General features: G+C 36.6%; 1 long non-coding RNA gene across 1 annotated transcript in view; it reads right to left on the minus strand.

The window, feature by feature from the left end:
- The window catches only part of LINC02174 (long intergenic non-protein coding RNA 2174), a 36,081-nt gene that overhangs the window by 14,953 nt on the left and 8,865 nt on the right, over positions 1-12,263 (minus strand). The window contains exon 3 of the long non-coding RNA NR_147157.1: positions 2,861-2,940. This is a non-coding gene — a long non-coding RNA (long intergenic non-protein coding RNA 2174). The remainder of the gene's footprint in view (positions 1-2,860; positions 2,941-12,263) is intronic.

A 12,263-nucleotide genomic window follows, 5' to 3' on the forward strand; every position in this document is an offset into this window, starting at 1 on the left:
ATGCACAGTAATGAAATTAAAATGGGGCATACTTAAACTTAAAAATAGACTCTGCTCTTTTAGTACTAAAAACAATACTTATTTATAATTACTGCCTAATTCATGTGTCACCAATTTTAAGGCCATTTTTAATGTATTTCTATCCTTACGGGATATACACTTTTTTGGCGTCTATGGTCACTAAGTCCAGATCCTCCAAAGTCCATTCAAAAGAAATGAAGATTCCTTTGTTTAAATTCTATTTTTAGTTTAGATTCAGGGAGTACATGTGCTTGTTTGTTATATGAGAGTATTACATGTGTAATAGTGGAGGCTGGGTTTCTAGTGTACTCATCACCCAGATATTGGACATTGTACCCAGAGGTGATTTTTCAACTCCCCTACCCTACACCCTTTAGAGTCCTGAGAGTCTATTTTCCTTATCTTTATGTCCATATGTACCCTTTGTTTAGTTCCACTTATAAGTGAGAATATGTGATATTTGATTTTCTGCTTCTGTATTAGTTTACTTATAATAATGGCCCCCTGCTCCACCCATGTTTCTGAAAAGGATATGATTTTATTCTTTTTTATGGCTGCGTAGTGTTCCATCATGTATATATAACATATTTTCTTTATCCAATCAACTTTTTGCAGACACTTAGGTTGGTTCCATGAGTTTGCTATTGTGAATAGTGTAATAACATATGAATGCCGGTATCTTTTTAATATAACACCTTTTTTTTTTTTTACCTTTGGATAGATACCCAGTAATGAAATTACTGGGTCAAATGTATTAGTTCTATTTTTAGCTCTCAGAAATATCTCCATACTGTTTTCCATAGAGTTTGATCTAAGTTATATTCCCACTGACAGTGTATGATTGCTCTCTCTTCTCCACATCCATGTCAACATCTTGTTTTTTGACTTTTTAATAAAAACCATTCTGACTGGTGTAAGATGGTATCTCAGTGTGGTTTTAATTTGCATTTCTCTGATGATTCCTGATATTAAGTATTTTTTCAAATGTTTGTTGGTCACTTGTATTTCTTCTTTTGAGAAACGTCTGTTCATGTTCTTTGCCCAGTTTATAGTGGTTTTTTGTTTGTTTGTTTGCTGAGTTGATTGAATTCTTTTTAAATTCTGGATATTAATCCTTGTCAGATACATAATTTGTAAATATTTTCTCCCACTCTGTAGGATGATTATTGTGCCCTGCAGAAGCTTTTTACTTTAATTAAGTCCCATTTGTATATTTTTGGTTTTGTTGCAAACGTTGGAGGTCTTCATCATAAATTCTGTGCTAGGCTAATATCCAGAAGAGTTTTTCCTAGGTTTTCTGCTAGGACATTTGCAGTTTTAGGTCTCATGTTTAGGTCTTTCATCCACCTTGGTTTAATTTTTGTATATGGTGAGAGATAGTGGTCCATTTTCATTCTTCTGCATATGGCTAGCCAGTTTTTCCAGCACTATTGGTTTAATAGACTGTCCTTTCCCCATTGTTTATTTTTCTTTACTTTACTGAAGATTGATTGGTTGTAGGTTTGTGGCTTTGGCTTTATCTCTGTGTTCTCTGTTGTGTTCACTTGATCGGTGTATCTATTTTTGTGCCAGTATCATACTGTTTTAGTTAGTTATAGCCTTATAAAGTAATTTGAAGTCAGGTAATGTGATGCCTGTAGATTTTTTTTTCCGTAGGAGTGCTCTGGCTAGTCAGGCATTTTGTTATTGTTCCATATGAACTTTAGGGTTGTCTTTCCTAACTTAGTGAAAAATGACATTGGTACTTTGATAGGAATTGTGTTGAATCTGTGGATTGCTACAGGCAGTATGGTCATTGATTCTTCCATTTCATAAGCATGAGATATTTTTTCATTTATTTGTGTTGTCTACAAGTACTTTTATTTGTATTTGGTAGTTGTCATTATAGAGATCTTTCATTGTCTTCTTTAACATATATTTCTAGATTAGTGTGTGTGTCTGTGTGGCTATTGTAAATGAGATTGAGTTCTTAATTTGGTTCTCAGCTTAAATGTTATTGAGATATATAAATGCTATTGATTTATGTATTTTGATTTTGTATCTTGGAGACTTTACTGAAGTCACTAATCAGGTCCAGGAGCTGAATTTCACCAGACATACAAATAAAAGCTGGTGCCAGTCTTACTGAAACTATTCCAAAAAATCAGGAAAGAGGGATCTCTCCCTAATTCATTCTATGAATGCTGTATTACCCTGATACCAAAATCAGGCAAGGACACAACAAAAAAGAAAATTCTAGTCCAATACCCCTAATGAACATAGATACAAAAATTCTCAGCAAAATACTAGTAAAGCAAATCCAAAAGCACATCAAAAAGATAATTCACCATAATCAAATAGGCTATATTCTAGGGATGCATGGATGGTTTAACATACATAAATCAATAAACATGATTCACCGAATAAAAATATCTAAGAACAAAAGAAAGATGCAGAAAAAGCATTTCCTAAAATCCAGCAAACTTTCATGATAAAAACCCTCAACAAACAAGGCATAGGTGGAGCATACCTGAAAATAATAGAAGCCATATATAAGAAACCCACAGTCGACCTTATACTGAATGGGGAAAGTTGAAAGCAATTCCCCTGAGAACTGGAACAAGGCAAGGATGCCCATGTTCACCACTCTTATTTAACGTAAAACTATCTGGCAATAGAAAGAAATAAAAGTCATCTAAATTGGAAAAACAGAAGTCAAATTATCTCTGTTCACTGATGACAAGATCATATACCTAGAAAAATATTTTTTTAAGAGGCAAATGTCTATTAACATCATATTAAGTATTGTGCTTAGCATCCAGATTCTATTTGCAGCCAGGGCATTGTAAAGATTATTTACCTGCTAAAATGTGTTTATACCAGATCCCATTAGAATCTCAACGGCCCATCAAGAATCCCCAGATTTCCATCATTATTTGCCTAAAGAATGAATGTACACATTGCACATATTGAGTATAAAACATTCCTAAGCAGTTTATGAGCAAAGTACTGTATTAATTTCAAGTTGACAGAATCTGAAAACATGATATTTCAACCACTTGTCATTTATTATTCTCCACTCTAATGGCTCTGTCAAATGGTGATCTAGATGTTTTTTTTGAATCGATGTGGTCACAGGAGTTTTATCTACCTTTGTAGCGGAGCTTTCTTCTTAGGTATTATAAAGCTCTTTTTTTAGGGACATCTGGTATAATAGTAGAGACCCCATTACACATTGAAATACTATAAAACATTTAATAAGGTAAAAACATCCATACTGGTACATTAAATGTATATTACGACTATGTAACAAAACACAATAAGGAACTGTACAAAACATATATCTAAGTCATCTGGTCACTATATCCTGAGTCAAATTTATGATTCAGGCTATGAATGAGCAACAAGGCTCGTTTAACAGCCGCCACCTTTTCACGTGCAGAAGTCTCCTAACGAGGAAAGCTGCATTGTCCCAGAATACAGGTTACAAGGGAAGAAGAGAGGATTGGAACAATATTACTTTTCCCTAATTTTCAGGCTTTATAATTTTCTGTACAAGCATAGGGAAGCCTGGAGGTCCTTTGCCAGGGAGAATAAGCTTAATGTTAAGCTATAAAGGAACATTTACATTAGAAAAGATAATGCAGGTGTCCTTATCACCCGCTTTATGATGAAGCTCATGGCAACTGACAATTTGTAAATTTCAAATGCCAAGATTCTGCAGCTATCATTACCAGAGAAGGATTAACATATTTTATGGTACCAATTTTTTAAAAAATCAGTGGATGTCTCAAAATGCTCCAACCTGAAACAGATGGTTAGCCTCTGGGTCAATTACCCATGGCTGGGTTGGTGGTAGTGAGGATGAGTTCTGAGCACATGGCAGCCTGCATTCTGCAGCAGAATGGACCAAGGAGACATCACCTACCAAGCGGGATGAAATCACCGTTTCTCTCGGTTGAGTTAATGTCTCTTGAATTTTCTTTCTGCTCACATATTTGTTTGCTTATCAGTCTACCTCAAGCAACCAGAGTGAATCTTTAAAAAACATGTCAGAGCATGTGGATCCTCTGCTCAGAACTTTCCAAGGACACTCTCCCAAGCCACAGATTAAAGCCAAAGCCAAGGACTTTTTCAGCATCTACCACACCTTCACAATCTGGCTTCCTATTCCCTCCAGACTTCCTTTCTCATGACTCTCCTTCACCACATTCTGTCCTGGTTGCACTTCCTCAAACAAACCAGGCAAGTCAAGGCCTTTCAAACTACCCTTATCTTTGCCTGTAATCCTGGAGCCTAGCTCCAGGTCTCTCCCTCAACTCAAATCATACCCTTTCATTGAGGCTTTCTCTGAGCCCATATTTAAAATTGTGAAAATCCCAAATATCTTACACTCCCTTATCCCTTATCACTTTATTTGTTTTCATAGCAATTAACACCTTCTTAAATGCCCTCAGATTTACTGAGAAGGCAGAATGTTTGTCTGTCTTGTTCACAGCTTTGTCTTTAGTGCCTAAAACAATGCCTGAAATATAATGACATTTCCTTAATAAATACTTGTGATTGAATAAAAGTTAACTAGTATTATGATAAAGGTCAGCTATGGACAGTTTAAATGATTGTTCTCCAAATCTCACTGTTAATAAGTCTTAAGGATAGGGTTCAGAAATATATTCCTGTGAAGCCTGAAATTTTTTACTATTAAAAAATTAGCATATGTGCCAAAGTTCACAAAGCTTTACGAATATTCATTCATTTTGCCCTCACAAAAAGCATGAGATGAAGTTACTCCTATTATCTCTACTTTAAAGAGTAGGAAAGCAATCACTAGACATTTAGTAACCTGACTAAGATCACAAGCTAATAAATAATCTGTGCTCTGAACTAATTTCTATAAGATCATGTTAACATGACTTGTTTTTATAACTGTGATTTTATATTTTCTTTAGTATATATGCATGCTTTCAGACATTTTATTTTTGAAATTCTAATAAGAACGTACGTATGCTTGGGCCAACTTCAATGTGGAGCGTGTGCAGCAGGGCTCCTTACCAGCCCCGTAACTCCTGTTGATATGGTTTGGGTCTGTGTCTCTGCCAAAATCTCATGTCAAGTTGTATCCCCATGTTGGAGGTGGGGCCTGGTGAGAAGTGATTGGATCATGGGGGTAGATTCCCCCATTGCTGTTGTGTGATAATGAGTGAGTTATCACGAGATTTGGTTGTTTAAAAGTGTGTATCACTTCCCCCTCTCTGGTCTACTGTACAAAACCCAGACTTTTGGCCAGAGCTCAGGGGAATTCAGGCATACCTAACTGTAAGAGAGGCTAGTAAATGAAATTTAGCTGCATGCTCAAGAAGTAGAGGAAATAGGTTTTGGTGCCACACGTGTTTCAAGAGAGAGCATGGGAAAGTGTCTCAGGCATAGAATTGAGAAGGCTCCTGCTCTGGCCGTGTAAGAGGCACCTGCTTCTCCCTTACCTTCTGCCATCATTGTAAGTTTCCTGAGGCCTCCCCATCCGTGTTTCCTGTACAGCCTGTGGAACTGTGAGCCAATTAAACCTTTTTTATTTTTTTAATTTTTTTTATTTGAGACGGAGTCTTGCTCTGTCACCCAGGCTGGAGTGCAGTGGCGCGATCTGAGCTCACCGCAAGCTCCGCCTCCCGGGTTCACGCCATTCTCCTGCCTCAGCCTCCCGAGTAGCTGGGACTACAGGCACCTGCCACCACGCCTGGCTAATTTTTTGTATTCTTAGTAGAGACGGGGTTTCACCGTGGTCTTGATCTCCTGACCTCATGATCCGCCCGCCTCGGCCTACCAAAGTGCTGGGATTACAGGCGTGAGCCACCCCACCCAGCCTAAACCTCTTTTCTTTATAAATCATCCAGTTTAAGGTATTTCTTTATTGCAGTGCGAGAAAAGACTGGTATACCTGTACACCTTTGAACTGCCACATGACAGTTTTCTGTTTTGCTCTAGTTAATATATGACAGATCTCTTCACTAGAGCACCTTCACATACACACTAAAATATAATGATGTTATAAAATAATTGTAGGAGAATGGTTAAATAGGTTAAGCCACATGCCTAAGCTATAATAGTAGATAGTAAAAAAATAGTTATTACAATTATTACCATGCTAAATGTTAGGTTATGAAAATTATTATAAAAAATTAAATAGATAATATAATCTTACATGCATACATGTAAAAAGACCACATTGTTATAAGAAAAAGTACTCCAAATATATATTATATATGGAAATTATATTATAATGTAGCACAGTATTACATTATAGGGTTAATATAATTGATTTTGTTTATTCTATTTTACTTTTAGAGGAAAAATCACTTTTGTTTGTTCATTTATTTGATTCCTTTACTGTATTGAACACAAATATGCCTCCCTTTCGCATTTGTACTCTATCCCAGGACACACAGAAGATGAATGCTAATTATAAATGAGGCAAGTATGTGTGTGTGTATAATTTCTCTCCCTTGGTCTTTACTTATCCAAACTAAATCAAAGTTGGTTTTACTTTTGTTTAACTGGTAGCCAAGAGATAAATACCTAAAGTTCCTTTCAAATAAAATTGCTGTAAAGTGGCCAACAAACATATGAAAAAATATTCAACATCACTAATCATTGGAGAACTGCAAATCAGAACCAAAATGAGATACTATCTCTCACCAGTCGCACTGACTACTATTAAAAAGTCAAAAAATAACAGATGTTGGTGGAGATACAGAGAAAAGAGAACACTTACATATTGCTGGTAGGAATGTAAATTAGTTCAGCCCCTGTGGAAAGCAGTTGGGAGATTTCTCAAGGAAGTAAAAATACAACTACCATTTGACACAACAATCCCATTACTGAGTATATACCCAAAGGAAAATAAATTTTTCTATGGAAAAGACACTTGTATTCACATGTTTATCACAGCACTATTCACAATAGCAAAGACATGGAATCAACCTAGGTGCCCATCAACAGTCTATACACCATGGAATACTACACAGCCATATAAAAGAACGAAATCGTGTAGCAAGAGGGATGCAGCTGGAGGCCATTATCTGCAGTGAGTAATGAAGAAACAGAATACCAAATATTTCATATTCTCACTTACAAGTGGGAGCTAAACATTGGATACACATGGACATAAAGATGGAAAAAGTAGACACTGGGGAATACTCGAGTGGATAGGGAGTGAGGGGAGACAGGGCTGAGAAAATTTCTACCATGTACTATGTTCACTATTTGATGATGGGATGAATAGAAGCCTAAACTTGAGCATCACAAAATATACCCTTGTAATATACCTGCACACGTACCAACTGAATCTAAAATAAAATTAAAAGAAGTAGCCAGAAGCAATGGCTCATGTGTATAATCCCAACATTTTGAGAGCCTGAGGCAGGAGAATCCCTTAAGGCCAAGGGTTCAAAACCAGCCTGGGCAACATAGTAAGACCCCATCTTTACCAAGAAAAAAGAAAAAAAAGTGCTGGGCCTGGTGGCGTACACCTGTACTCCCAGTGACTTCAGAGCCTGAGGCAGTAAGATTGTTTGAGCCCAGAGGTGCAAGGCTGCAGTAAGCTGTGATCCCTAACCCTACTCCTAACAAACAGTAACCCCTAACCTTAGACAACTACAGTCTGGGCAACTGAGGAAGACCCTGTGTCTAAAAAAATAAAATGTAAAAAACTCAAAAATTTTTTTATAGAGAGAAAAAAGAAAAAAGTAAAACTGTTGTAAAGTTTTGAAGGAGTGTGGATAAATACCATATATCTAGAATTATGCAGGAGGTTAGTATACAGCTTTGAAAAACTTTTGAATTATTTTAAGTAGAATAGATCTGAGGCATTACTTTGTTTTGTACTGAATTGTGTACCTGTAGAAAGAGGCTTTAAACAGTTATGGTTAATAAAATGCCTTCTCCGTTATGTTATTACACGTAAGACATTTAATTACATGACAGAATTATCAAGTCCCAGATTGAAAGAAGCATAAGGTCTACATACGGCCTATAAACCTTGAGGCCATTTTCCTCCCATTATAATTCTGGAGGAAATAGACACTAGTTAATCTGCTAAATTTTGTTCCCACAATTTCTATGTCTAAATCTCAGGTTAGAAGTAAATGTATTAAATTTACTTGTTCTAGGCTTATTTGGAAGTAACAGGAAGTTTGTGTTGTATTTTATGTTTAATTTTCCTATGATAAACTATTTTATGTTATAGATGACTAGTTAACTTCCTTTCTTAGCTTCTAAACTGTCATCAAAAATTAGATGAGACCTTTGTGTTTTTGAGTATTAGGGAGAGAATACTTTCACTCTTTTATTTGTAATTGGTGAAAAACAAGTTTTTCTCAATTTGCTTATTTAGATGTTACCCAAAAAATGCACACAAAAGATGATAAGAAACATAAATTTCTCATCTCTATTAGAATTAATCCACGTATAGTTTTGCCAAAACCTCAGCAGACACTCTGTGGCTATATGTGAAACCATCTTCTATGTGTCTGCTGCTTAAATCCAATCAGGAAAATGAGTAACCACCATTCCTTTAAACTAGTTTACACAGTGGGTGGTCAAAATATCACCACATTCCCACTGCTCACCTCCAAGTTCAACTCCAGGAGTCTCTATATAGTAACATTAATGTCTGAAATTGGATTGAGGGATTCCCGTATGCTGTCATCTAAAACCCATTATGATGGCTATAAAGCAATGGCCACTAAAATTGATAGAGGAAGATGAACTGAGAAAAGAGTTTAATAAGTGAAAAACAAGAGTTCTTGAGCTTAAAAGCAATTTTCACAGTAGGTCTTTGTATGCATCTGCACAGACATGAAACTCAACAGGAGAAAGTAGAAAGCCTACTATCTTTTCAGGGAATTATCTTTGAAAGAAAACCTACAGACTGGCTGGTCAATGTCTTTAAACAATTTATGAGACCCCACAAATGCACAAGAAGGAAGTGACCTGTGAAGAATGTGCAATCCCCAAAAAGGGCTTATTTTCCAACACCCTCCTGCCATATAGTCATGAAAAATTTCAGACGTTAAAGAAATTCCAAGAAAACAAATTTATCAGTCAATGCAGGCAAGAAATGTTCACCAAGAGAGCAGAATCAAGGCCTTACACATGGATAAACACAGGATCATTATCACCGGTGAAGGTACCCCTCACTCTTCTTGTCTTGGCGTAGTTCCATCAGAACTCTGGACATGTGAAGGCTTTGTGTTTTTCATGTATGCCTCTCTGAATAGAAAACATTTTCTTTCACTGATTTTTTCACCGTATTTGTGCATTGTATATTGATACTTCATGGCAGACTTCTCTAGACCTGATGGACAGAACCAACTATAAGTCGCCCAGATATACTCAATTTTCAGCTGGATGAAGTTACTTGAAAAACTTTGATTGGTTCCCTCCAGGAAAGAGTTCTGTATGTGAGAGAAGAAACATGCATGTAGCCAAAGAAACAGTCTGCACTAGAGACTTCTACTAGTCCTTTGTAGTAGAATTCTCCATTTTTTAAGCCTGTACCATTTCCCTGCATGTAAATTACATTATCAGGTTCCTTTGCAGTTACATGTGGAAATATGATTAAGTTCTAGCCAGTAAGCTGTAAAGAACAGCCTGTGAAAGTTATTTCTAAAGAAGGAGAATGTACCCTTTGTCCCTGTAATTTTCTGCTACCTGGATTGCAGATTTAATCGCCAGGGATTGAGCAGTCATCTTGGACCATAAGGTGACATCTAGAAAAGGAAAGTAGTAAGCTCAAAGGAGCCCATGGTATGGTATCTACCCGATTCCTTTTATGATAAATAAACATATCTCACCCAAGCTATCATTATTGTGGGGTTTTCAGTAGGTGGTAACCTAACTGAATCCTATGTAAAGCAGTATGTCTAGTCCCATTCTTTACATATGGAAAAAAAAGCGGTAGTAACATTTCCCAAACTATACAGCCTCTAAAAGCTGATGTGGAATTTCCTTTTTTTTAAAATTTTATTATTATTATACTTTAAGTTTTAGGGTACATGTGCACAATGTGCAGGTTTGTTACATATGTATACATGTGCCATGTTGGCATGCTGCACCCATTAACTCTTCATTTACTCAGCTGACTTTAGAAATTTGTTTCTTAATCCCCAAAATAAATAAGCATTCACTGAAGATTTACATGATATATTTTATTCCGCTGGTTAGAAATTAATATAAGTAAACCTAATTTTGTGAACATGAACCATCCAAGAGCCTGAATGAGCATAGATATATAGATATATATGCTTATTTTTTATAAACCTATACCATACACACACACACACCACACACACACACACACACACACACACACACACAGGTCATGGGAGTGGTAAGGAAAATGATTGCTATTTTAAATTTTATTCATAATATTTTTAATGTTAAATTGGAACTAATATACTATAATAAAATATAATAAATTATGAATTTTAGGTGACATATGATCAGTAGTAGGCAGTTTATTATTCCACTTTTTTATGTCAATTTTTTTAATGAAATAATGAAAAATAACAGTAAAACAGCATAGGTTAAAAACAAAACAGCAAATTACATATGTGCCTTTGTGTAAACATTTTTTCTTAAGTAATTTAAAATACACTTTTTTTTTTTGAGACAGAGTCTTGCCATGTCTCCCAGGCTAGAGTGCAGTCACTTGATCTTGGCTCAATGCAACTCCACCTCCCGAGTTCTAGCCATTCTCCTGCCTCAGCCTCCTAAGTAGCTGGGACTACAGGTGTCTGCCACCATGCCTGGCTAATTTTTGTTGTTGTTGTTGTTGTTGTTGTATTTTTAGTAGAGATAGATTTTCACCACGTTGACCAGGCTGGTCTTGAACTCCTGACCTCAAGTGGTCTGCCCACCTTGGCCTCCCAAAGTGCTGGGATTACAGACGTGAACCTCTGCACCCGGCCTAAAATACACATTTCCTACTTGGTGATATTTTTTGACAAGATAAATATTGACTTTTATAACCAGCAGTGTTAATTAGCTATTTGATGTGAGGTGTAGAAACATTCCTCCATTGTGTCGACCGAGTCATGAAAGAGTTTCCAACAACAAAAACACTCCTTGGGTTTGAAGGTCACTGGCTTGTTACCTTCTGAGGTGAATAATTTCTAGAAAATTCCTTTGTTGCTCTTAATAATGTAAACTATTTAGATTAGCAAATGTTTAAATAAGTTAAATGTTTTCATACATTTGAGTAGCTTTCCTTAAAAATATAGCAGTGCTACTTGGCAGAGGGTAGTCTGCTAAAATAGTCAAATAATTACAATGAAAAGACGATAAAAGGAGTACAACATAAATTAATAAATAAATACCAAGAAGAGATTACTGTAAAGTAGGGATGGTTGTAACTTTTGTGGGAAGGGGAGATTCAGGATGAGGACGGTCTCATGGATGGCTTCGGGAGTCAAAGTTGTGTTTCTTGACCTTGCTATCAGGAAGTCAGGGAGAAGGGTCATTAAAAAGCTGTTTTTTGTTTGTTTGTTTTTCCATTTGGTAATTAATTAAGCTATATATTTCTTTAGGCGGCTTTCTGAATCTGTATTTCACTTTAAAACAAATAGTCAATAAATATGAATGCACAGGCAAGAAGCTAACTAGAGTACTCATTTCCTCTTCCCACCCCAGAAATAGTGTCCTATTTAGAAAAACTTTAACCACAACATGACGATCATATATAATAGTGCAACTCTCTCATTTCTCCTATTTTACAGTTAGTGATTCTTGATGATTTGGTTCAGATTTCCACACCAAAGCATCATTGCTCTCCATCATAGCACCACTAGCAGTATCTGTCGAAGCCTGCTAAGGCAATTGGTATTGAGGGACAGGACTAGCTGGATTTCCTAGGCTGACTAAGAATCCCCAAGCCTAGCTGGGAAGGTGACCACATCCACCTTTAAACAGGGGGCTTGCAACTTAGCTCACACCCAACCAATCAAAGAGCTCACTAAAATGCTAATTAGGCAAAAACGGGAGGTAAAGAAATAGCCAATCATGTATCGCCTGAGAGCACAGGGGGAGGGACAATGATCGGGATATAAACCCAGGCATTCGAGCTGGCAACGTCTACCTTCTTTGGGTCCCCTCCCTTTGTATGGGAGCTCTGTTTTCACTCTATTAAAACTTGCAACTGCGCTCTCTTCTGGTCAGTGTTTGTTACGGCTCGAGCTGAGCTTTCACTTGCTGTCCACCACTGCTGTTTG

This window comes from Homo sapiens, chromosome 4 (assembly GCF_000001405.40).
Source record: "Homo sapiens chromosome 4, GRCh38.p14 Primary Assembly".
In the NCBI taxonomy this organism is placed as follows: Eukaryota; Metazoa; Chordata; class Mammalia; order Primates; family Hominidae; genus Homo; species Homo sapiens.